General features: G+C 43.3%; 1 protein-coding gene across 14 annotated transcripts in view, besides 3 other annotated features; it reads right to left on the bottom strand.

Moving 5' to 3' along the window:
- PTGR2 (prostaglandin reductase 2) overlaps positions 1 to 12,152 on the bottom strand; it is a 33,896-nt gene extending 21,744 nt beyond the window's left edge. For 4 of the 14 annotated variants that reach the window (NR_163921.1, NM_001371331.1, NM_152444.4 and 1 more), the window contains exons 1-3: positions 11,863 to 12,036; positions 5,084 to 5,167; positions 3,326 to 3,444 (exon numbers count right to left, since the gene is read on the bottom strand). Coding sequence is in view for 10 of the 14 variants with exons in the window: in NM_152444.4 (NP_689657.1) it covers positions 3,326 to 3,444; positions 5,084 to 5,120 (156 nt within the window). In the remaining 4 variants the exon portion in view is untranslated. The other 10 variants (NM_001371330.1, NM_001146154.2, NM_001371327.1 and 7 more) reach the window with 4 other exon arrangements.
- Positions 12,016 to 12,418: a silencer, noted in NCBI's record as "fragment chr14:74318268-74318670 (GRCh37/hg19 assembly coordinates)". NCBI's record gives its function as "represses an EF-1alpha promoter that drives an FKBP-Casp9 reporter gene in an ReSE screen in phorbol 12-myristate 13-acetate-treated (for megakaryocytic differentiation) K562 erythroleukemia cells {active_cell/tissue: K562(+PMA)}" and the evidence as "EXISTENCE:reporter gene assay evidence [ECO:0000049][PMID:32094911]".
- Positions 12,357 to 12,406: an enhancer, noted in NCBI's record as "active region_8720". NCBI's record gives its function as "activates an Ori minimal core promoter by ATAC-STARR-seq in GM12878 lymphoblastoid cells {active_cell/tissue: GM12878}" and the evidence as "EXISTENCE:reporter gene assay evidence [ECO:0000049][PMID:35858748]".
- Positions 25,368 to 25,537: a silencer, noted in NCBI's record as "fragment chr14:74305149-74305318 (GRCh37/hg19 assembly coordinates)". NCBI's record gives its function as "represses an EF-1alpha promoter that drives an FKBP-Casp9 reporter gene in an ReSE screen in K562 erythroleukemia cells {active_cell/tissue: K562}" and the evidence as "EXISTENCE:reporter gene assay evidence [ECO:0000049][PMID:32094911]".

Here is a 27,053-nt window from a genome sequence, read left to right as displayed (position 1 = left end):
ACCAGCTTGGGCTGTCTCATAGCAAGAGGTGACCTTGGGTGGGGAAAAGCCTTCTTAGATATGAGTCGGCCAGGTGTGATGGCTCACACCTGTAATCCTAGCACTTTGAGAGGCTGATGCGGGTGGATCACCTGAGGTCAGGAGCTTGAGACCAGCCTGGCCAACATGGTGAAACCCCATCTCTACTAAAAATACAAAAATTAGCTGGGTGTGGTGGTGCACGCCTGTTAATCCCAGCTACTCGGGAGGTTGAGGCATGAGAATCTCTTGAATCCAGGAGGTGGAGGTTGCAATGAGCTGAGATTGAGCCCCTGCACTCCAGCCTGGGGGATAGAGTGAAACTGTCTGCCAAAAAAAAAAAAAGAGAGCCTGAAAGTATGAGAGTATAAATGACAAAAGATAAAACAGAACTCATCTCTAAATAAATAAATAAATAACAGTTTATTCTTTGCAATGATTCATAAATAAACAATTTTAAAATGTTTTTTTAAAAAATTTTAATTAGCCGGGCATGGTGGCACACACCTATGGTCTCAGCTACTCAAGAGCTCTCAGCTGAGGTGAGAGGATTGCTTGAGCCCAGAAGGTCAAGGCAGCCGTGAGCTATGATTGCCCCACTGCATTCCAGCCTGGGCAACAGTGCAAGACTCTGTCTCTTAAAAACAACAAAAAAGAATAACATATTGTATGTTTTTATTTATATGAAATGGCCAGAATAGGCAAATCTATAGGAACAAAAAGTAGATTACTGGTTGTATACAGCAGAGGGTGGGGTGAGGAGGGGAAATGGGGAATGATTGCTAATTATACCATAGGTTCAGGGTTTCTTCTGGGGATGAAAATGTTGTAAAACTGATTGTAATGACAGTTGCAGAATTCCGTGAATATACTAAAAATAATTTAGTTGTACTCTTTAAGTGAGTAAATTGTATAGTGTGTGAATATAATAAAACTGTTAAATTTTTTAAGTATATGGAGACAGATGTAGTGGCTCACACCTGAAATCTCAGCACTTTGGAGGCCAAGATAAGAGTATTGCTTGAGTCCAGGAGTTCAAGACCAACCTGGGCAACATGGCAAGACCCCATCTCTACAAAAAACAAAAAAATTAGCCGGGTGTGGTGGTGCATACCTGTGGTCCCTGCTAGTTGGGAAGCTGAGATGGGAGGACTGCTTGAGCCCAGGAGGTCGAGGCTGCAGTGAGCTGTATTCACACCACTGCACTCAGCCTCAGCAATAGAGATCTCATTTCAAAAAAGTTAAAAATTAATAAAATGAAGTCCACAGTCCTTCACTCAGCTTGCCGCAGTAGTGACGTCTTTAATAGCTGCAATATAATATCAAAAGCAGGACATTAACATTGGTACATTGCTGTTACCTAGACAGCAGATCAATAAGCGATCCTTTGTACGGGCACTCTTTCACTTCCTACTTTATATACTTCTGTTTCAACTATTTAGAATGTTGATAAAAATAGGCCAGGCGCAGTGGCTCACGCCTGTAATCCCAGCACTTTGGGAGGCCGAGGCGGGTGGATCACGAGGTCAGGAGATCAAGACCATCCTGGCTAACACAGTGAAACCCCATCTCTACTAAAAATACAAAAAATTAGCCGGGCGTGGTGGCGGTTGCCTGTAGTCCTGGCTGCTCGGGTGGCTGAGGCAGGAGAATGGCGTGAACCCGGGAGGCGGAGCTTGCAGTGAGCCGAGATCGCGCCACTGCACTCCAGCCTGGGCGACAGAGCAAGACTCTGTCTCAAAAACAAACAAACAAACAACAACAACAAAAGTTAATAAAAATAATAAAGTTGCTCATTTTTTAAAAATGTCTTCAATAATGAAAAAGATAATCAGCCTCTACATAACAAAAAAAAAAGAACAGTTTGACACCAGGCTGGCCAGTCTGGTGGGACCCCATCTCTACTAAAAATACAAAAAATTAGCTGGGTGTGGTGGTGTACGACTGCAATCCCAGCTACTCGGGAAGCTGAGCCAGGAGAATCACTTGAACCCAGGAGGCAGAGGTTGCAGTGAGCCAAGATAGTGCCACTGCACTCCAGCCTAGGCAACAGAGTGAGACTCCGTCCCAAAAAAAAAAAAGCCACTAAGTTTACAGTACTATGTCAAAACAGCAACAGGAAACTCATACAGTCGTTCAGCAACCTATGAAACAGTTAACAAAACAGACACATGGGGCCAATTTCCCTACTGCACCAATCTGATTCCAAGCACTGAGACTTTTTTTTTTGCAACAGGGTCTCACTCCATCACCCGAACGGAAGTGCAGTGGCGCAATCATGGCTCAATGCAGCCTCAACCTCCCAGGCTCAAACGATCTGCCCACATCAGCCTCTCGAGTAGCTAGGACTACAGGCACACACCACCACACCTGTCTAAATTTTTAATTTTTTGTTGAGACTGGGTCTCACTCTCTTGTCCAGGCTGGTCTTGAACTCCTGGGCTCAAGCAATCCTGCCTTGGCCTCCAAAAATGCTAGGATTACAGGCAAGAGCCACCATGCCCAGCTGAGCCTCTTAATAGCAGGGGGTAAATTGACATAAAGAGTTATGCTTGTCATGGCCATAGGAAAAAGTTAGAAGTAAAGAAAAGACTGTATGACCTCTGGGAGAAGTAAAGCAAGACGCCAGCTCGTAGAGCCAAAGTCCCTGTGCCTAATGGCTTCTTATCTGCAGTCTTCAGCAATGTATACGTTTTCACTAAATCTTATTTATCTAGAAGTAGCATAAGTGAGTCTGTTCCTTTCAAAAAGAGATCAACTACAGGGCTAAGCACAGTGGCTCATGCCTGTAATGCCAGCACTTCAAGGAGGCCAAAGTCAGAGGATTGCCTGAGCCCAGCAAAATTGAGACCAGCCTGGGCAACACAGCGAGACCTCATCGCTTAAAAAAAAGAAAAAGAAAAGAAAAGGAGGTCAACTAGAAATAAATAAAGATCTCATACATAGCCTCTCTTATAAAGTGGATCTGAAAGAATTTGCAATCTTATTTTACTATCTTAAAGCTTTATTTACTGAATTTGCAATCCTGTTTTACTATCTTCAAGCTTTATTTACTACTGGGAAGTAATCTGAACATTTGAAAGCACCTGAATCACATACATGTACTACTATTATCTGTTCCCTCTACAACATTCCTTAATTACACTAGTGAATAAAAACAAAGGCAATCTATAATTAAAAGGTATCAATATATAACTGCTCAAATATTTACCAATCTATAAGGGACTGCACAATAAGATTCAGATACAACATGAAAAATAATAAAATAAAGTTATTTTTCACCAAGTTACAACATCCTGATTCTTACCATGTAAGGATCCACAGAAAGATAAAGAGTTCTAACTTGTACTTGTCCTTCATTAATATTATCTGGTAAATAGACTTCTTCCATTCGGAAATTCTCTGCCACTGGATTACCATTTTTTCCTAAAATATTATGCAAAAATATAAAGTTAAAAAAAGCCACTTTGCTATATACTATTATTATTATTATTATTTGAGACAGAGTCTTGCTCTATCACCCAGGCTGGAATGCAGTGGCGCGATCTCGGCTTACTGCAACCTCTGCCTCCTGGGTTCAAGTGATTCTCCTGACTCAGCCTCCCGAGTAGCTGGGATTACAGGCATGCACCACCATGCCCGGCTACTTTTTAATATTTTTAGTAGAGATGGGGTTTTACCATGCTGGCCAGGCTGGTCTCAAATTCCTGACCTCACGATCTGCCCACCTTGGCCTCCCATAGTGGTGGGATATACTTATTATTCTTTAAAGGGTCACTCTAGGATTCAGAACAGTTCCTTTTAAAACAGGCACAAGGGGCCAGGCGTGGTGGCTCATGCCTGTAACCCCAGGACTTTGGGAGGCTGAAACAGGTGGATCACGAGGTCAGGAGTTTCAGACCAGCCTGGCCAACATGGTGAAACCTTGATTCTACCAAAAATACAAAAACTAGCCAGGCGTGGTGGCGCACGCCTGTAGTCCCAGCTACTCGGGAGGCTGAGGCAGAAGAATCGCTTGAACCCGGGAGGTGGAAGTTGCACTGAGCCGAGATTGTGCCACTGCATGACAGAGCGAGACTCCGTGTCAAAAAAAAAAAAACAGGCACAAGTAAATCTATATTGTTTTGTAATTCTTCTGTAACTATAGAAATGACTCAGTATGTATTTCTTTTTTTTTTTTAGAGACAAGGTCTTACTCTGTCACCCAGGATGGAGCGCGGCTAAACTTTCCTTCCTTATTTTAAGAAGCAAATAGAAACTTAAATGAATATAAAAGTAATAATAATAAAGTCTGAAAAAGTGGAAAATTAAAAAATTTGAGGCATGAGAAAAATTTGTAAGGAAAGGTCATCATTATAGAAACTTAAACGAATATAAAAGTAATAATAATGAAGTCTGAAAAAATAGGAAGTAGGAAATTAGAAAAATTTGAGGTATGAGAAAAATTTGTAAGAAGGAAAGGTTACCACTAGAAGGTACTCATATTCAGATATGTTTAATGCAAATTTACTCTTCATAGAATTGTTAAATTTATAAGGTGGGAATAGTACATAAAGATCTTAATCTAACTGCTCATTTTACTAAAATTGAGTTCAGAAAAGTTAAGTGACTTCCTCAAGTGGGCAGCAGTGACCCAAATCTCTCAGGTTCTTTCCATATCTGTTTTTATGATGCAGTTTACATGTCAGCACTGATATGTTAGTACATTTCACATAAAAAAGAAAAGCAAATTTTAAGGACCAATAATAACATACTCTAAAGAAACAAAAGCCACATATATTTGTAATGTAACCTTTCAGACATTATGATTCCAAAATACCTTATTTCATCAACAAATGCCTGGATAAGTTATCACTTGAAAAACTAGCACACTGTTTAAAAATGGTCTTGATAAGCTAACACTTGAAAATTATTACATCGTTTAAAGAGTTTCTTCTAATATCTTTACTAGTGTCAATATCTTACTACCTTAATTTACCACATGAACATCACATTAGTTTTTATTCCTCCATTTGCATTAATACTTATCAAAGATCAGAGTTGTTCATTCATCGCAAATACATACCAGGTCGAGAATTCAATACCACTCTTTGAACAATCATTGCTCTGGTTGGGCAGTGGTTTCACAAGATTTCTGTATAAAATACTCCTATAAATAAAAAAATTTTTAAATCACAAGATTTGAAGTATTCAACAATTTAAAAATAAAAAAGAAGTCCATTTGTGTTTCCCAATGAAGAGGGAGAAAAATCACATTTAGGATCCAAAAAGATAAACTCGCCTGTCAGAGTTTGCCTCCTAAAGCAAATATATGAAGAAAGACTAAATCTAGTTAGAATTTTTAACTAATAGGAACAAGTTCATTGAAGATTAAGTGGGGCAAAATGTTTGTTTATTTATTTATTTATTTTAAAGACGGAGTCTCGCTCTGTTGCCCAGTCTGGAGTGCAGTGGTGTGATCTCTGCTGACTGCAAGCTCTGCCTCCTGGGTTCACGCCATTCTCCTGCCTCAGCCTCCCGAGTAGATGGGACGACAGGCGCCTGCCACCATGCCCAGCTAATTTTTTTGTATTTTTAGTAGAGACGGGGTTTCACTGTGTTAGCCAGGATGGTCTCAATCTCCTGACCTCGTGATCTGCCCGCCTCAGCTTCCCAGTGTTGGGATTACAGGCATGAGCCACCACACCCGGCCCTAGTGGGGCAAGATGTTTTTGGTCTCAGATAATTCAAGCTCATTCATCTTCAAGCACACCATCATGATTAAGCCTCCTATGGCTCGATTAAAAGAAAACAACACAAGGCTGGTCCAAAGGTAGTGAGTTATATCACCTGATTGTTCAGTCAGTTACAGGCCAAACCCCTTGTTCTACTCTTTTCCCTTCTCAATACTGCACTTGTTTTTAAATAAAGACAAGAAAAAAACATAAAACAAACAACATGATATATTCCTCCAGAGCTAGCAGTTAATCTAGTGGCAAAATAAAAACGCTAACTGCAGCTGGGCGCGGTGGCTCACGCCTGTAATCCCAACACTTTGGGAGGCCGAGGCGGGTGGATCACAAGGTCAAGAGTTCAAGACCATCCTGCCTAACATGGTGAAACCCCGTCTCTACTAAAAATACAAAAAAATAAGCCAGGCGTGGTAGCGGGAGCCTGTAGTCCCAGCTACTCCGGAGGCTGACGCAGGAGAATGGCGTGGACCCGGGAGGCGGAGCTTGCAGTGAGCCGAGATCGCACCACTGCACTCCAGCCTGGGCAACAGAGCGAGATTCTGTCTCAAAAAAAAAAAAAAAAAAAAAACACTAACTGCTTAATTGACATGTAATCAAAAAAATTTTTTTTTTGGAGTGGGGGACAGAATCTTACTCTGTCACCCAAGCTGGAGTGCAGTGGCGCGATCTCAGCTCACCGCAACCTCTGCTTCCTGGGTTCAAACAATTCTCCTGCCTCAGCTTCCCAAGTAGCTGGGATTACAGGCGTGCACCACGGTGCCCTGCTAATTTTTTGTATTTTTAGTAGAGACAGGGTTTCACCATGTTGGCCAGGCGGGTCTTGAACTCCTGACCTCAAGTGATCTGCCCACCTTGGCCTCACAAAGTGCTGGGATTACAGGCATGAGCCACCAAGCCCAGCCACGTAACCAAATTTTCAAAGGCTCTTCTATTCGTTCATCAAAATGGAAATTCCTTTGCCTTCTTATCAGTGGTGAATTAAAAAAAAAAAAAACGGAAATTCCTTTATAGTTTAGCTGACAATAAAAGTAATATATCAAGGAATTTAAAAATCCTTACCTTATAGGAAATTCCATATCACAATATGGCCAATAAGTAAAGGATCAGTTTATTCTGTTTTGTTTTTTGAGATGAGGTCTCGCTATGTTGCTCAGGCTGGTCTCGAATTCCTGGGCTCAAGTGATCCTCCCATCTCGACCTCCCAAAGTGCTGGGATTACAGGCGTGAGCCACTACATCTGGCCAGTTTATTCTGGATTTAGAATTTGAGCTAATGAAGAAAGCAAAAGAACTTCCAGTACTAGCACTATCTGACTTGCTGAAAATCACTTTGCTTACTTTATCCACCAGTGAAAATTAGAAAATCAAGCCCTTAGTGTTACTATGTGCCAAGCACTCTTGTGAGTGCTTTGTACAGCTTGACTACTGGGATACATGCTGAGAAATGTGACATTAGGTGATTTAATCATTGTGTGAACATCAGAGTATACTTACACAAACCTACATGGTACAGATTACTAGACACCTAGGTGATATGGTTTAGCTTATAACTTCTACGGTACAAACCTATATGGCATGTTGCTGTACTGAATGCTGCAGACAACTGGAACACGATGGTAAGTATTTGTGTATCTAAACATAGAAAAAGTACAGTAAAAATATGGGGTAAAAGATTTAAAAATGGGCTGGGAGCGGTGGCTCACCCTTGTAATCCCAGCACTTTGGGAGGCCAAGGCGGGCAGATCACCTGAGGTCAGGAGTTCGAGACCAGCCTGGCTAACATGATGAAATCCTGTCTCTACTAAAAATACAAAAAAAAATAGCCGGTGGGCAGGTGGCCCATGCCTGTAGTCCCAGCTACTTGGGAGGCTGAGGCAGGAGAATCGCTTGAACCCTGGAGGTGGAGATTGCAGTGAGCCAAGATTGCGCCACTGCACTCCAGTCTGGGTGACGAGTGAAACTCCGCCTCAAAAAAAACAACAACAAAAAAGATTTTAAAATGGTATACCTATATAGGGTAACTTACCATGAATGGAGCCTACCAGATTAGAAGTTGCTCTGGATGAGTCAGGGAGTGAGTGGTGAGGGAATGTGAAAGCCTAGGACATTACTGTAGGCTACTTAGACTTTATTAACACTATGCACTTAGACTACACTAAATTTCTTTCTTTTTTTTTTGAAACAGAGTCTTGCTCTGTCGCCCAGGCTGGAGTGCAGTGGCGCAATCTCAGCTCACTGCAACCTCTGCCTTCCAGATTCAAGCGATTCTCCTGCCTCAGCCTCCCAAGTAGCTGGGATTACAGGTGCGTGCCACCATGCCCGGCTAATTTTTGTATTTTTAGTAGAGACGGGGTTTCACCATGTTGGTCAGGCTGTTCTCAAACTCCTGACCTCATGATCCACCCGCCTCGGCCTCCCAAAGTGCTGGGATTACAGGCATGAGCCACCGCGCCCGGCCCCACTAAATTTCTTAAAAAATAAAGTAATACTCCGGGCGTGGTGGCTCATGCCTGTAATCCCAGCACTTTGGGAGGCTGAGGCAGGTGCATCATTTAAGGTCAGGAGTTCACAACCAGCCTGACCAACATGGTGAAACCCTGTCTCTACTAAACATACAAAAATCAGCCAGGCATGGTGGTGCACGCCTGTAATCCCAGCTACTCAGAGACTGAGGCAGGAGAATTGCTTGAACTCAAGAGGTGGAGGTTGCGGTGAGCCGAGATCACGCCACTGTACTCCAGTCTGGGTGACAGAGTGAGACCCTGTCTCAATAAATAAATAATAAAAATAAAGTAATTGCACTATAACGTTCTGATGACTATGACATCACCAGGCAAGAGGAATTTTTCAATTCCATTATAATGTTATGGGAGGCTCATCGTCTGTCATTGTCTGAACCGTCATTATATGGCAAATGACTATAACCCAGCCATCACAGATTTAAACATAAACACTATGCCATTATTACACCTAATAGTAGTACTGGCAATTCCTTATCATCATCTAATACCTAGTGCATATTCAAATTTCCTGACGTTTCAGGATGTTCAAAGATATCTTTTTACAGTTGGTTTCAAAAATGTTTCAAAGATGTCTTTTTACAGTTGGTTCATTAAAATCAGGATTCAAGGTCCACATACTACAGTTTGAGTCTCCCTTCCATTTATTTCATGCCCTTGATTTGTTTCTTCATTACTTTGCTTGTAGAATGTTCTTTGATTGCTTCCTCATGGTGTCATTTACCATCACAAGGTAAATGACTAGCTTTTAAAGAAAGAAGGAAATGTTTCTTCTATCTCCTCCCCTTATCCATGACTGCTAGTTACATCTAGAGGCTTGATTACTTCAGGTTCAATTTTTCAGGCAAGAATCTTTAAGGGTGGTGCCACATCCATTCATCACACCAAGAGGTCCATAATGTCATGTAGGGCTACATATGTTTTAAAAAGGAAACTTTCTACAGAATCACCATATGTGTCAATTATATAAGGATTAAAAAGCCAAAGTTTTCCAAATTAAGTGGGTCTAAAAGTCCTTAAGTAGTAATAGAACCATAATGGCTAAATTTTCAAAGCAGTCTTTCCAAATGAAATATCATATTTGCCCTCTAATTACTGTCAATGGTATGCTTTATTTGTTTAACATATTAATATGTATATTATAGATTTGTCCAAACACTGCTTATCAGCATGAAAAATATACTATTAAAGTTCTCTCACTCTGCATTAAATTAGAAACTTTTCAAGTGTCAAATACTACAATTAATATAGGATAATTGTGTGATATCCCTCAATAGTACCAAAAAAACACACATTTCAAATATAGATAACTTGGCTGGGCACGGTGGCTCACACCTGTAATCCTAGCACTTTGGGAGGCTGAGGCAGGTGGATCACTTGAGGTCAGGAGTTTGAGACCAGCCTGGCCAACATGGTGAAACTCTGCCCTACTAAAAATACAAAAATTAACCAGGCGTGGTGGCGGGTGCCTGTAATCCCAGCTACTCCGGAGGCTGAGGCAGGAGAATCACTTGAACCTGGGAAGCGGAGGTTGCAGTGAGCCGAAACTGATCCATTGCACTCAAGCCTGGGGGACAAGAGCGAAACTTTGTCTCAAAAAAATAAATAAATAATAAAAATAAATAAAATATAGATACCTAGATTTAGTCATAAAATTAACAGCTAAAATAAGACACATCAAGTTCCAAGATCTGAAAGAAGGGTAGATTGTTAAATTCATCCCAAGTAGGGGAAAAAAACTCAGCAAATCCTATTTGCCTGGGATACTATTCCTACTTGGTGCTAATATTCCAAAATAATAACAGACGAATTTGCTCCGATGTGATGATAGAGTGTGTTGAGTGTTTACCTTGCAGCCTGGTAAAAGGGAAAGGTCATTTAAGTAGGAAGAACAGAGTACTTCTCCTAGTTCTAACCAGGTGGGAACTTGGAAAAAGTCCCTTCTCTCAACCTGTTTCCTTAATATTCCTAAATGCCAGGAACTGAGCACAGACTCATTCACTAGCCTGTTTAAACCACCTCCCCCACCCTCACCCCAAAAAAACTGTGAGGTTGGTAATATCATCCTCTCAATTTTATAGATGAGAAAAGGGGCCGGGTATGGTGGCTCAGGCCTGTAATCCCAGCACTTTGGGAAGCTGAGGTGGGCAGATCACTTGAGGTCAGGAGTTTGAGACCAGCTCCGACAAAACGGCGAAACCCCACCTCTACTAAAAATACAAAAATCAGCCCGGCGTGGTGGCGGGCGCCTGTAATCCCAGCTACTCTGGAGGCTGAGGCTGGGGAATCGCTTTAAACCGGGAGGTGGAGGTTGCAGTGAGCCGAGATCACGCCATTGCACTCCAGCATGGGCGACAAGAGCGAAACTCCATCTCAAAAAAAAAGAAAAAAGAGAAGAAAAAAGAGGTACAGAAAGAGAATAATTCGCCCAGAGTCGCCCAACTTGTAATAACGCTAGAACCCATACTCCAACACGGCACCTGCTATTTCCATCACATGAGCTTCCTAATACCTTTTAATACCCTTATTTCGTGCGATTATTCTGCCACTAGCAACCCTGTTGACCACGCCTTGTTATAAAACGTATCTTTCTGGGCCCAGAGCCGTGGCTCACACCTGTAATTCCAGCACTTTGGGAGGCTGAGGTGGGAGGCTCACTTGAGGCCAGGAATTCGAGACCAGTCTGGCCAACATGGGAAAACCCCGCTCTACTAAAAATACAAAAATTAAGCGTGGTGGTGGGCGCCTATAGTCCCAGCTACACAGGAGGCTGAAGCTGGAGAACTGCCTGAACCCAGGAGACTGAGGCTGCAGTGAGCCGAGATCCAGCCAGGACACTCCAGCCTGGGCAACAGAGCGAGACTTTGTCTCAAAAAACAAACAAACAAACCACGTGTCTTTCTGGATCTCTCTGCCAGTCTTCTCCTCCCCTTCCGGTTTTCTGGTCTCCCCCTTCCCCTCCCGAAGTCTTGCATGTGGAGATTCCTATCTTGCTCTTCCCTTTCTCAGTGACCTCCCTGAGCCCTGTGGCTCCTCCTACCAACCACTTTATATGGAAATTAATAATAATTTGCGTCTCTAGCCCAGAATTTCAAACTAACTGCCCAGCTCGTCAGCGCTAAGAGGATAAGGACTCGTCTGCTTTGTTCAATGATGTGAATCCAGGCCGGGCGCGATGGCTCACGCCTGTAATCCCAGCACTCTGAGAGGCCGAGGCAGGCAGATCACGAGGTCAGGAGATCAAGACCATCCTGGCTAACACGGTGAAATCTCGTCTCTACCAAAAATACAAAAAATTATCCGGGCGCAGTAGTAATCCCAGCTACTCGGGAGGCTGAGGCAGGAGAATCGCTTGAACCCGAGAGATGGAGGCTGCAGTGAGCCGAGATCGCGCCACTGCACTCCAACCTGGGCGACAGACAGAGCGAGACTCCGTCACACACACAAAAAAATGTGAGTCCAATCCCCTATGCCCGGCGCATGGTACGTGCTCAACAAATCTGTGTTAAATGAAAGTTTCAGAGGCACCTCAAACACAATTACGTCAAAACCTCAGGTTGCTTTCCCCCAGTAATTCAAAAAAAACCCCAAAACCTGCTTCTGTTTCTCGAGCATTCCCTATCTCAGTGTTGCGGGCAATAACGCCAGTGTCCCCGGTAGCTCCGGGAGGACGCCTAGAAGTCACCCTGGTTGAGAGTCTTCTTCCTCACCGCTGGGGCCCGAAGCAGCTTCGGGAGCCACAGTCGCGGGAGCCGCTCGCGCGTCACTGACCCTGTGGAGCCCGGGTGAACGAAATCTCGCGTGATTTGCCGGAAAGAGGCTGTACTGCACGACCCCAGCTCGCCCCCAGGCCTCGGCCCTCTGACCGCAGTACGCAGGCGCGCGACTAGGCCCGGCTCCGCGCCCCCTCCCCTCCCAGGGGCGGGGTTTGGAAGCTTAGGGATTGGAAGTTTAGGATTCCTGGGCGCCCCACGTTTCCGGGAGAAGCAAGGGAAATGCGGAACGTCAGGGGAGAGTTACTAGTCTGGGCAAAGTGCATTAATAACTTAACTGAGATTGGTTCCTTGTGGCCGCCCCTACTGCCTTGACCCAAAGAGCAAATCTTGCAGCCTTGACCAGTGAGTTCACATTTAGCAGTCCGTGAAGAAGTTTTATTAGTTTTGTGGATTTCTCCCTGAACCTCGATTGGGAAATTATAGTGAGACAGGGACCGTCAAGCCTACTCCTTGTTTTATAGATGGGGAAACTGAGTCTCGGAGAGCTGATGTGATTGGACCACCTACCTTTCAGCTGGTTAGGGGCAGTGCTGGGATAAAACCCCTCTCTCCGGACCCTAATCCAGGGCCCCTTTGCGCCTCTTTTATTTCACGAAGAATACCAAATTCCTCCAAGATTACCAGTGTGGGCTGATTTCTCAATTTCATTCATCGTTAGTCGTCTCCTTTTGTGCTGGACTGGGTTGAGAGAAGTGTATACCTAGGACAGCTTCGGATCCCCAGGGACTTCAAACCCTAAGAAAGATCATCTGAATTAGGCAGGTATAAGAATTGCTTGTATTCATGTGGGAGCTAATAGCTCAGCACAAGTCATGCATGGAGTAGCTGAAAGATGACTAGGTTGGTGAGCAAGGGAATAGTGATCAAACAGGTTGGAGTTCCTGGTAGCTTTATGTCTGAATATTTTTGCTTCTTTGGGAAAGCTTCAGGAAGGACTAGGAGAATTACACTACTTTGCAAACATTTTCAGACAGGAGCTAATCTCTTTTATCTGTCATGGACAGGTAGACAGACCTTCAATGCCTTTTGTAATGACTTAAACCAAATGATGAAAAATAAAATGCTCAAATAGACAAAAAGTAGTAGTATAAAATAAAGGTAATCTAGAACTTGATTTAAAAGAAACACTTTCAAAATAGAAAAGAAGCCCTGCAATATTAAATTAGTTTTGGGGCTGGACGCAGTGGCTCACGCCTGTAATCTCAGACCTTTGGGAGGCAGAGGCAGGTGGATTGCTTGAGTCAGGAGTTCGAGACCAGCCTGGGCAACGTGGTGAAACCGCATTTCTTCAAAAAATAAAAAATAAAATGAAATTAGCTAGGTGTGGTGGTGCTTGCTGGTAGTCTCTCAGCTGCTCAGTAGGCTGCAGCGAGCCTTGATCACACCACTGCACTCCAGCCTGGGTGACAGACTGATACCTTGTCTCAAAAATTTTAAATATATGTATGTGTATTAATTAGTTTTAGCTCTCTTGATTCTAGGGTCTGTGAACTCCTTGTAACAAGTGTGATTTTTCTCGCCAAAATGAGTTCCCAAAAATTCAAGAGATGAGTAGAGGATTTATAGGTACATTTCTATCCAGTTTATCCTCTTCTTCTAAATTTTCTCTAACACCAAGGATTACTATCATTTACATAATGCGTAGTTTGAGTTGGATAATGCCTTATATGATTTTTTGCCTACATGATTTAATTTTCAAAACAGCCCTATTATTATTATTACCATTTTACGAATGAGGAAACCGAAGTTAAGCTAGTTAAGTTCTAAGTCAGGTTAAGTAACTAATAAGTAAAGGAGCAAGTTATCCTGCCTGAGTCCAAGCACCTGACCCTTTGTTATATTTGCCATAAATCTGGAATTCCCTACTCCTCCCTCTTTGCAGAACTTTGTACTGCCTCCTTCTCATCGTTCAAGCAATTCCTGAGAATCATTTTCTTTTTTTTCTTTTTTCTTTTCTTTTTTTTTTTTTTTTTTTTTGAGACGGAGTCTCTCTCTGTCGCCCAGGCTGGAGTGCAGTGGCACGATCTCGGCCTACTGCAACCTCTGCCTCCCGGGTTCAAGCAATTGAGCCTACTGAGTAGCTGGAACTACAGGTGCATGCCACCACACCCAGCTAATTTTTGTATTTTTAGTAGAAATGGGGTTTCATCATGTCGGCCAGGCTGGTCTCAAACTCCTGACCTCAGGTGATCCACCTGCCTTGGCCTCCCAAAGTGCTGGGATTAAAGGCATGAGCCACCACGCCCAGCCCTGAGAATCATTTTCTAGACTTCACTAGAAGGAAGTGTCAATTCTTCTCATCTCCATCTTATCAAAAAAAAATACATAGTATATATTGTTTCATTCAAGCATGATAAATATAGGCCAGGTGCAGTGGCTCACACTCATAATTCCAGCACTTAGGGAGGCGAGACAGGAGGATCACTTGAGGCCAGAAGTTTCAGACCAGCCTGGGCAACATAGGAGACCCCTATCTCTACAAAAAACAAACAACAACCAAAAAAAAAAACAAAAAGAAAAAAAATAGCCAGGTGTGGTGGCACACACCTGCAGTCCCAGCAGCTACTCATGAGGCTGAGGCAGGAGGATCGCTTAAACCCAGGAATTCCAAGTTGCAGCTAGCTATGATCTCATCACTACATTCCACCCTAGGTGCCAGAGTAAGACTTTGTCTCAAAAAAAGAAAAAAAAAAAAAAAAAAAGCCAGGCACTGTGGCTCAAACCTGTAATCCCAGAACTTTGGTAGGCCAAGAGGTAGGAAGATCGATTGAGCCCAGGAGTTCAACACCAGCCTAGGCAACATGGCAAAACCCACCTCTACAAAAAATTTTAAAAATTAGCCTGGTGTGATGTGTGTGCCTGTTGTCTCAGCTGCTTGACAGACTGAGGTGTGAGGATCACTTGAGCCCAGGAGGGCGAGGCTGCAGTGAGCTGTGTTTGCACCACTGCACTCCAGCCTGGGCAACAGAATGAGATTCTGTCTCTTAAAAAAAAAAATGCATAATAAATATAAATACTTGGCCGAGCGCAGTGACTCACGCCTGTAATCCCAGCACTTTGGGAGGCTGACGTGGGCGGATCACAAGGTCAGGAGATCAAGACCATCCTGGGTAACACGGTGAAACCCCGTCTCTACTAAAAATACAAAAAAATTAGCTGAGCGTGGTGGGGGCGCCTATAGTCCCAGCTACTCAGGAGGCTGAGGCAGGAGAATGGCATGAACCCGGGATGCAGAGCTTGCAGTGAGCAGAGATTGCACCACTGCACTCCAGCCTGGGCGACAGAGCAAGACTCCATCTCAGAAATAAATAAATAAATAAAATAAATATAAATACTTAATCTAATATGTTTGTATACTCATTCATTAAATTATTTTTTAGTTTTTTCATTCATTAAATTATTTTTAAATGAAAATAACCTCGTATGATAGCAAATTACTCAGGAGAAATCATTCAAGTTTGACCAACCTGCATGGTATATGACACTTAGTGCAACATCAAAGATTATTTGATGCTAAATAAAACATTTTTCCATGGAGGTGATAATTGTTCATAATGACACAAATTCAAACCCAAACATACATCCTAAAGAGATAACAGAACAAAGTAAGAGATAAAAACCACACCTGGCTGGGCTCGGTGGCTCATGCCTGTAATCCCAGCACTTTGGGAGGCTGAGGCAGGCGGATCACATGAGGTCAGGAGTTCGAGACCAGCCTGGCCAACATGGTGAAACCCTGTCTCCACTAAAAATACAAAATACAAAAATACAAATACAAATACAAAAAATTAGCCGGGCATGGTAGCGAGCGCCTATAAACCCAGCTACTCAGGAGGCTGAGGCAAAAGAATGGCTTGAACCTGGGAGGCAGAGGTTGCAGTGAGCCCAGATCACGTCACTATACTCCAGCCTGGGTGACAGAGCAAGACTCTGTCTCAAAAAAAAAAAAAAAAAAAAAAAAAAAAAAAAAATGCTGTAACCGAATCCTGTGAAACTCAAGCTTAAATAAATGCTTTTTCAGAAAAATTGAGCATTTAGAAAAAGGTCATATTTGTGCCTATTACAAGGTGGGTTCTCTGGAAAGCAAACCCTGATGGGGAGTTTGGTATGCAGGATGTCTATTAGGGAATACCTTTTGAATCAATACCTATCGGAGGAAGAGGAAGAAAGCAGGACTGGGCAACAGGAGAAGCTGAACTCCCCGGGGAGCTTGGAACTAACATGGCCAGTCAGAGTTGTCCTCTGTTGGACCTGAATTTTCTCCCACTCCTTTTAGTTAAAGTCACTGTGGGTAATGTATCTCAAAATTGCAAAGCAAAATTTTCTCCCCTGTACCTCCTATTGGTATGACTGATCTCTTTAGGGGCTTGAATGCTATAAGCTATTTCACTGCTATTAAATAAAAGCTTATTTATTTATTTATTTACTTTAATTTTTTTTGAGATGGAGTCTTGCTTTATCACCCAGGCTGGAGTGCAGTGGCGGGATCTTGGCTCACTGCAACCTCTGCTTCCCAGGTTCAAGTGATTCTCCTGCCTCAGCCTCCCAAGTAGCTGGGACTACAGGCACCCACCACCATGCCTGTATTTTTGTATTTTTAGTAGATACGGGGTTTTACCATGTTGGCCAGGCTGGTCTTGAACTCCTGACCTCAAGTGATCCACCTGCCTCAGCCTCCTAAAGTGTTTGGATTACAGGCATGAGCCACTGCACCCGGCTATATTTCTTCCTCCACTTCTGCCAGTAAAATTTAGCTCCACTAGCCTACATTTTACATATAATGCTGACTAATGAAATCCAGAGCCTGACCTTAAAAATGCTAAGTCTTCAAAATTAACAAAAAGAGTCCCAGAAAGAGATGAATGAGATTTCTTCTCTCCCCTGCAGTTACTGATGAAGAGCGACATTTCTGTATCATAAAATCATTTCAAAGACTCTAACCGTATAAGGTGTTAAATTAAGAACATTTATATGATTACCAAGTTGTATGGATATTTATAAATGTGATCAACATGTTTTTGTTCCCCATTAATGTATCTGTCCTTTGAAGTACAATTTCAGAAAAGAGAGCTTGAAAACTCTTAGAGGTTTAGAAATTCTTGCATGCCAAGTGAAAATAACCTTGAAAGAAAAACTTTTGAAGATTGGCTGTTGTATCGTTATCTATTGCTACAAACAAATTACCCCCAAAACTTAGTGGTTTAAAACAATGAACTTTTCCGTGGCTCACGCTTGTAATCCCAGCACTTTCTGGGGGCCAAAGTGGGTGGATCACGAGGTCAGGAGTTCGAGACCAGCCTGGCCAACACAGTGAAACCCCGTCTCTACTAAAAATACAAAAATTAGCTGGGTGTGGTGCCGGGCGCCTGTAATCCCAGCTACTCAGGAGGCTGAGGAAGGAGAATCACTTGAACCCAGGAGTCAGAGGTTGCAGTGAGCCAAGATTGTGCCACTGCACTCCAGCCTGGGTGACAGAGCTAGACTCCATCTCAAAAAACAAACAAACAAACAAACAAAAACTATGAACTTTTATTGTATTATCTCAGAGTTTTGAAGGATCAGGAAGCCATGCACAGTTTAGCTGGGTGATTCTGGCTCAAGGTCTCTGTAATCAAGCTGCCAGTCTGGGCTGGGCTGTGGTCTCATAAGAAGACTCAGCTGGGGAAGAATCCACTTCCAAGCTTGCTTTCTTTTCTTTCTTTTTTTTTTTTTTTTTTTTTTTGAGACAGTCTTGTTCTGTTGCCCAGGCTGGAGTGCAGTGGCACAGTCTCAGCTCACTCAAGCTATTCTCATGCCTCGGCCTCCCAAGTAGCTGGAATTACAGGCACATGCTACCATGCCTGGCTAATTTTCTTATTTTTAGTGGAGACAGGGTTTCGCCATGTTGGCCAGGCTGGTCTCAAACTCCTGGTCTCAAGTTACCTGCCCACCTTGGCCTCCCAAAGTGCTGGGATTATGCATGAGCCACCGCGCCTGGCATAGGATGTATTCTTAAATCGTATAAATATTGTATTTAAAAAACTGTAGTAATCAAGGCATTGTGCTGTTGATGCAAGGATAAATAGATCAATGGAAGAGAAGAGTCTTGAAATAAACCCTTCCTACATTATAGTTAATTGATTTTTTACAAAGGGGTCAAGACAACTCAGTAGCAAAATGATAATCTCAATAAATGATGCCGGCGCAATTGGATATCCATACACCAAAAAACAAAAGCAAAGCCCTGGAAAACAAAAACAACAAAAAGAAACTTGAATCTTTGCTCACACCAAATACAAAAATTAATTCAAAATGGATTATAAACCAAAACCTAAGAGGTAAAAATATAAAACTCAAAAAAAGACACCAAAAGCAGAAACCATAGAAGAAAATGTGATAAATTAGAATTTATCAAAATTTAAAATATAAAGTACCTTAAGAAAATGAAAGGGCCATGGGTGGTGGCTCACACCTGTAATCCCAACACTGGGAGGTCAAGGCGGGCAGATTGCTTGAGTTTAGGATTTCTGTACCAGCCTGGGCAACATAGGGAGACCTTGTCTCTACTGAAATTCAAGAAATAATTATTAATAGCTGGGTGTGGTGGTACAGGCCTGTAGTCCCAACTTACTCAGCAGGCTATGGTGGAAGGATCACTTGAGCCTGGGAGGTTGAGGCTGCAGTGAGCCTTGATCATACCACTACCCTCCAGCCCGGGCAACAGACTGTGACTCTCTCTCAAAACCAAAAAAAAAAAATGAAAATGAAAAGATAAGCCACAGACTGGAAGAAAATATTTGCAAATCATACATCTGATAAAAGGCTTATATTGAAAACACATAAAGAACTCATAACTCAATAGTATGAAGATAATTATGAGATATGGCTGCTGAATGTCTGAATAAGAAAACAAAAAAACAAGGATATATGAAGACAATCAACCGAATTAAAAAATGGTCCCAGGAGAGGCGGAGCTTGCAGTGCGCCGAGATCGTGCCACTGCACTCCAGCCTTGGCGACAGAGCAAGATTCCATCTCAAAAAAAAAAAAAAAAATGGTCCCAGGGGCTGGGTGCGGTGGCTCACACCTGTAATCCCAGCACTTTGGGAGGCTGAGGCAGGTGGATCACTTGAGGTAAGGAGTTCCAGACCAGCCTGGCCAACATGGTAAAACCCCCTCTCTACTACAGAAAAATACGAAAATTAGCTGGGCGTGGTGGTGCACACCTGCAGTCATAGCTACTGGGGAGGCTGAGCTAGGAGAATCACTTGAGCCCAGGAGGCAGAGGTTGCAGTGACCCAAGATCAGGCCACTGCCACTCCAGCCTGGGTGACAGAGTAAGACTCCATCTCAAAAAAAAATTTTTTTTAATGGTCCCAGTCCAGTGCGGTGTCTCACGCCTATAATCCTAGCACTTTGGGAGGTCAAGGTGGGAGGATCACTTGAGGTGAGGAGTTCAAGACCAGCCTGGGCAACATAAGATTCCTCTCTCTACAAAAAATGTTAAAAATTGGCCAGATGTGGTGGCACGTGATTGTAGTCCCAGCTACTGGGGAGGCTGAGACAGGAAGATCACTTGAGTCCAGGAGGTGGAGACTGCAGTGAGTGAGCTATAATTGTACCACTGCACTCCAGCCTGGGCAACAGAGGGAGACTCTGTCTCTCTAAAAATAAGTAAATAACTAAAGTAAATCTTAATGTAATTATGTAACTTTTGGACTTCAGTTAACAATAATGTGTCAATATTGGCTCATAAACTTTTTTTTTTTTTTTTTTTGAGATGGAGTCTCGCTCTGTCACCCAGGCTGGAGTGCAGTGGCGTGATCTTGGCTCACTGCAACCTCCGTCTCCTAGGCTCAAGTGATTCTCCTGCCTCAGCCTCCTGAGTAGCTGGGATTACAGGCATATGCCACCACGCCCAGCTAATGTTTATATTTTTAGTAGAGACGGAGTTTATCTCAGTAAGACTTTCAAGCTCTGTGGTCACCGTTTGAAAAGCATTAGATACGCTGGGTGCAGTGGCTCACACCTGTAATCCTAGCACTTTGGGAGGCCGAGGTGGGAGTTTCATTTGAGCTCAGGAGTTTGAGACCAGCCTGGGCAACATAGTGAGACCTTGTCTATACAAAAAATGAACAAAATTAGCCAGGCGTGGTGGTGTGTACCTGTAGTCCCAGCTACTTGGGAGGCTGATGTAGGAGACTCGCTTGAGCCCAGGAGGTCAAGGCTGCAGTTAGCTGTGATCACCCCACTGCACTCCAGCCTGGACGACACAGTGAGACCCTGTCTCAAAAGAAAAAAAAGGAGGCGGGGGAAGAAAGAAAGAAAAGAAAGAAAAAGAAGGAAGGAAGGAAGGAAGGAAGGAGGAAAGGAGGGAGGGAGGGAGGGAGGGGAAAAAAGAAAAGAAAAAGAAAGAAAGGGAAAGTATTAGATAAGCAGTTGAGAAAGGAGCTGAGATCAGGAATTCAGTTCTGCATCTTCTCTGTGACTTCTCATTCATCTCTGGGTCAGTCATAGAGTCTCTCTTGTCTTAATTTTCTCATCTGTGAAATGGCTACCCCTTTATTTACCACCAGTGGTATTGAGAACCTTAATCAACATTTAGGAAATAATATGTCATCCTTATAACATGAGACCCATAATTGAAAGACTATACCATTATCATGGCCCATTTCATTTTATCTGGATTTTTTTTAACTAAGTTGGTTTTACATTTTGATGTGAATTTATATGCAGCACTATTGTTAAACTGAGTGTTGATTTTCACTCCCCAGAGAGTTTTCTCCTTCAGTAGTGGAAAAATGAAGTGTACATTATTGCAATAATAACACCCTTACTTGTGATCTTGTCATTTCACAAGATTCTTTTTTTTTTTTTTTTTTTTTTTCTGAGATGGAATCTTGCTCTGTCACCCAGGCTGGAGAGCAGTGGTGCAATCTTGGCTCACTGCAACCGTTGCTGCCGGGGCTTAAGTGTTTCTCCTGCCTCAGCCTCCTGAGAAGCTAGGATTACAGGTGCATGCCACCATGCCCAGCCTTTTTTTTATTATTATTTTTTTTTAGTAGAGATGGGGTTTCACCATGTTGGCCAGGCTGGTCTTGAACTCCTGACCTCAAGTGATGAGCCTGCCTTGGCCTCCCAAAGTGCTGGGATTACAGGTGTGAGCCACAGCACCCAGCCTCATAAGAATCTTGATACAGGAGTTGGGCTAAATTACTGCTGAGAGGAGAGACTTTCAGAGTAAAAGCATGTGCTGTAGGAACAAACTTAACTGCTGTTGTTTGCATTTTCCTTTTTCCACGTTCAATTCTTGAGAACCCAGGAGTAGATAAGGCCTAGCATCATATAGGTTCAAACACTTCTTTTTAATATAATAGCTGCTGTTTCTCCTCTAGCTGCTCCGCCAATCCTATGAGACTCCCTTCTTATAGTCCAGGGGGCACTTCCTGATATCTGGCCCCAGCTATTCCCTTTTTCTTGTTGGCTACTGAAGAAATAGTGGGCAAGAGCTTGTGGTTTAGATGAGCTGCCAATCCATACCTCAGCATGCATTCTTATCAACCAGTGTCAATTGTGATGACTCTTGGCAAAAGCTCTTTAATTTCTGTCTCCCATTGATATTTGCTACCATGCTCTCCTGCTGTGGCCAGAATTCAGTCCTAAGAAGTTACCACATGTGACTGGGTGCATTTTGTTAAATAATAACTTTATTGATATGTATACATCCATATGATGATGTAGATACAGATCATAAACACTACTTTATGCCATATATATATATATATATATATATCTGCACATGAGTGGTTCAAACTCCTTGACATAAAAACATATAGAATTTGGGCACAGTGGCTCATGCCTGTAATCCCAGCAGTTTGGTAGGCCAAAGTGGGAGGATCACTTGAGGCCAGGAGTTCAAGACCAGCCTGGGCAACATAGTGAGACCCTGTCTCTACAAAAAATCTTTAAAAATATTAGCAAAGTGTGGTGACACACCCCTGTATTCCCAGCTACTCAGGAGACAAAGATGGGAAGATTGCTTGATCCCAGGAGGTTGAAGTTATGCTGAGCTATGATCGTACCACTCCAACCTGGGTCACAAAGCAAGGCCCTGTCCCCCACAAAAACAAAAACAAAAACAAAAACATACAGAATTTCCATTTAGATTTTTTACAGCAGGGGAAAGCATGCTGATGTCAGTTCATTGGTAATTATTTTGCCCATAAGTACCTGTTGGAAAAAGGAAATCGTGAAAACATAAAGAATAAAATTACCATGAATCATACTAGTGATTTAAAGTAATACTATTATTACTTGTTTGATTTATACTAATTCACACTAGTGATTTATAGTAATAATTTATAGAATAACTTACTAGAGCATTATAGTTTTCCAAAATTATATGCATTCTATGTGAAAACAATAGGTTTACCTACTTTGGGAGATGGGGAAAAAAGCAAAGGGAAGATATGAATAGCACATATAAGCAAATAGTTAAGCTGTAATAAAACAACAAGATATTGTAGCAGAGTCAAACACTATTTTTATGTCCAAGAATAAAAATGTTTTGAAGAACTGTTTCAGATTTTCATATTTTATAGTAAAGCGATCATAAAGCTTTACTGCATGCTGAAATACTGAATGACAGTGTAGCAGTTACTGTCATCATTCCCTGAACTCTCTCTCTGTCCAGTGCTTTAGCCTTCTAAAGAAAAGGAATGTTGTATAATAAAGAATCTGGGCCAGGTGTGTGGGCTGATGCCTGTAATCCCAACACTTTGGGAGGCTAAGGCAGGGGAACTGCTTGAGCCTAGGAGTTTGAGACCAGCCTGGGCAACAAAGTGAGACCCTGTCTCTACAAGAAATTTTTATTACTATTTTTTAATTTTGTTTGAGACAGGGTCTCACTATGTTGCCTAGGCTGGTCTTGAACTCCTGGGCTCAAGTGATCCTCCTGCCTTGGCCTCCCTAAGTGCTGGTGCTGGATTACAGGCATGAGCCACTGCCCTCAGCTCTACAAAAAAAAAATTTTTTTTTTGAGTCGGAGTCTTGCTCTGTCACCTAGGTTGGAGTGCAGTGGCACAATCTCGGCTCACTGCAACCTCCACCTCCCGGGTTCAAGCAATTCTCCCTGCCTCAGCCTCCTGAGTAGCTGGGATTGCAAGCACCCGCCACCACGCCCGGCTAATTTTTATATTTTTAGTAGAGATGGGGTTTTGCCATGTTGGCCAGGCTCATCTTGAACTCCTGACCTCAGGTGATCCGCCCACCTCGGCCTCCCAAAGTGCTGGGATTACAGGCGTGAGCCATCATGCCCGGCCAACAAAAATTTTTTTAAAAAGGTTAGCCAGGCACCTATGGAGGAGACTGAGGTGGCTATGGAAGCAAAATTGGAGGAAGAAGTGACTACAGAAATGATCAGTACAATCGACCATACTGATGACTGTTTTGAATATTCCTTTGTCTCTGACATGATCCATAGTGAAATTGCCAGAGTTTTGCCTGCTGCTTTCCTCGTGGCCTCTTCTTGGGTAGTGAAATTAAGTGATTTTTTTTTTTTTTTTTGAGACGGAGTTTTGCTCTTGTTGCCCAGGCTGGAGTGCAATGGTGCGATCTCGGCTCACTCCAACCTCCACCTCCCAGGTTCAAGTGATTCTCCTACCTCAGCCTCCCAAGTAGCTGGGATTACAGGCATGCACCACCACCCCGGCTAATTTTGTATTTTTAGTAGAGACAGGGTTTCTCCATGGTGGTCAGGCTGGTCTTGAACTCCCAACCTCAGGTGGTCCACCCGCCTCGGCCTCCCAAAGTGTTGGGATTACAGGTGTGAGCCACGCGCCCGGCCGTGACATTTGGATTATTTGAGTGGGAGGGCTGGGACAGTTTTTCTTTTAGAAATGTTGAGATTTCCCCTTTTAGTTTCCAACCTTCTCCTCCTCAACCCTTAGAGCTAAATGTGTTGTAAAATATTGCCAATATGAAAAGTGTTTTGTAATACTGCAATAAAGGCTGCTTGTTTTTGTGGAAAAAAAAAAGGTTAGCTGGTGATATGTGCCTGTAGTTTCAGCTACTCAGGAGGCTGAGGTGGGAGGATCCCTTGAGCCCAGGGGTTGGAGGTTGCAGTGAGCTATGATCGTGCCATTGCATTCCAGCCTGGGCAACAGAGCAAGACCCCATCTCAATAAATGAGTGAATAAATAAGTAAAAAGTTAAACATAAACAAATAAAATTTAGCAATTTACATTTCAAAGAACAACCATCAGTTTGGGAAAAGGCCAATTTTCTCCAAATAATTATTTTACAGTATGGGCAATTGTTTCTCATCCTGCTTCAGTGTTTATCATGACAAAAGTTAGTTTTACAAAAGATGTGGAGATTTGTATTTTTAGTAGAGACAGGTTTTCACCATATTGGCCAGGCTGGTCTCGAACTCCTGACCTCAGGTGATCCACCCACCTCAGCCTCCCAAAGTGCTGGGATTACAGGCATGGGCCACCGTGCCTGGCCCATTCTCCATTCCTTCTGATCTCCTTAATAAATATTGCTGTGAACATACCTCTTTCAGTTGATTTCATCATTTCACCAACCTGAACACAAAATCCATTAGGCTGGTATTACAATAATATCCTCTGACAGATAGCACAGTGCTACTGAGTAGATGTGTTGGGTTGTGTGGGAGGCGGAAGATGTACCTTGATCGGGGTAGGAGAGGGCTGTGCATAACAAAATCAGAAATGAAAATGAACTGAAAGGGGTGTCAAGTGCAACTAGTCTAAAACACAATGCGCAACCAAATCCTTGACAATAGTAGGAAACTACTTGCAGGGAGAACGTTCAATTAAGCCACTATTTTCAGGAACTAGTGGAAAAAGGACTAATAAGCATCCAACTGCTGAACATCATCTTGAGAAACAGCTAAATGACAGGTGCATCACCAAAGTGGGTAATGAACACATGAATAAAGATGTGTTTTGTGTCTGAAGTTACATTGCTGTGAGTAAATTATTAAAGAGTTTTATACTTTAAGGCTCAGCAAGAAGAAACTCTTGTTAAGTAGCTCTTTAGGGGACAGTGGGTTTCTACTGATCATGTAGTCAACCAACATGGCTATGTTCTTTTGTGTGTGTGTGTGTGTGTGTGTGTGTGTGTGTGTTTGTGTGTGTGTGTGTGTGTGTGTGTGTGAGAGAGAGACATAGTTTTGCTCTTGTTGCCCAGGCCAGAGTGCAGTGGTGCGATCTCAGCTCACTGCAACCTCCACCTCCTGGGTTCCAGTGATTCTCCACTTCAGCCTCCCGAGTAGCTGGGATTACAGGTGCCCATCGCGATGCCTGGCTAATTTTTTGTATTTTTAGTAGAAACAGGGTTTCATCATGTTGGCCAGGCTGGTCTAGGACTCCTGACCTCAGGTGATCCACCCACCTTGGCCTCCCATAGCGCTGGGATTACAGGCATGAGCCACCGGGGCTGGCCAAGGCTCTCTATGTTCTATGGTGCCTGCGCTGCTACAGTTGCTGAAATCCTTGTCTTAGTTGCCTGGGGCAGACACAGTCCCCACATACCAAGCATATATGTACACACAGTACCTCACCTCTTACTGTAAAGAACAGCACAAAATCCAGCTCAAGGCATGTTGCATCATTGGAACACCTGAAAGCCTGCTGCTTTTTCTTCCTGGATTGACTTTATTAAAGTCAGCCTCCCTGGGCTACCTTTAATTCTGCAGCTTGTTTAGACCCAGAGGTCTGACAAGACTTTCCGTAAATCCAGCTGCTTTGGTGCTTCCCAGGGGTCAGCCTGTGTGGGCCTGGTATACAGGTGGCCATGCTTGTGAGATCGATTGAACTTATCTTTTTTTTTTTTTTGAGACGGAGTCTCGCTCTGTCGCCCAGGCTGGAGTGCAGTGGCGGGATCTCGGCTCACTGCAAGCTCCGCCTCCCGGGTTCACGCCATTCTCCTGCCTCAGCCTCCCAAGTAGCTGGGACGACAGGCGCCCGCCACTACGCCCGGCTAATTTTTTTGTATTTTTAGTAGAGACGGGGTTTCACCGTTTTAGCCGGGATGGTCTCGATCTCCTGACCTCGTGATCCGCCCGCCTCGGCCTCCCAAAGTGCTGGGATTACAGGCGTGAGCCACTGCGCCCGGCCCGATTGAACTTATCTTTAAAAAAAAAAATTGTCTTTTTCATTTATGCTTCTGTAGGGGAGAAAGATAACATCTTTCCTCACTCATTGCTAGGTTCATGGCTGACCCCCCTATAACAAAAGATGGATTAACAAGAAAAGGGAGATAATCTTTTCTGTTCTATTTTACCAGGTCCTTAGGAGAATGTAGGAGGTTTGCGATAGAAATGCAAAGAGAAGAGAAGGAAAAGTTTCAAGAGTTTTACAGAAGTGTCTTTAAGAAAATTGAAGGGGGTCAGGTGCTGTAGCTCACGCCCATAGTCCCAATATTTGGGAGGCCAAGGAGGATGGATCACTTGAGGCTAGGGCACCTGTAATCCCAGCTACTCAGGAGGCTGAGGCAGGAGAATTGCTTGACCCCAGGAGGCGGAGGTTGCAATGAGCCGAGATGGCGCCACTGCACTCCAGCCTGGGCAACAGAGTGAGACTGCATCTCAAAAAAAAAAAAAGAAAGTTGAAGGGAACATATTTCCTTCAGTCCTGGCTTCCTGGCAGGGCCCCAAGGAGGTGGCAAAGCCAAAGGGCCCCAAGGAGGTGGCAAAGCCAAAGAGAGGAAAGGAATTGGGGCCCTCAATCTTGCAAACAAGTCTCATGTCCCAAGTGGGCGTAGAAACGAAGGTGTCAGCAGATCTGAAGGGGCTACTGGGAAAGGGACAATGTCTCTGCAGGGATCTTCAACAGCCAGGCAGGACTCAGTGTCAGAAGGCCACATCCAACTTGGAATTGGGTAAGATTGTGGAATCTTTGCCTGATTGCAAAGTGCCAAACATCAGGAATGACCAAAGTTAAATATTTGCCTGCCTGTGCGACTGGGGCACAGAGGCAGAAACTCAATTGATATGGAAAACAA

The sequence above is a fragment of the Homo sapiens genome, chromosome 14 (assembly GCF_000001405.40).
Source record: "Homo sapiens chromosome 14, GRCh38.p14 Primary Assembly".
NCBI classification, from domain to species: domain Eukaryota; kingdom Metazoa; phylum Chordata; class Mammalia; order Primates; family Hominidae; genus Homo; species Homo sapiens.
Note: the sequence above shows the minus strand (reverse complement) of the source record. Positions and strands in the feature narration are given on the sequence as shown.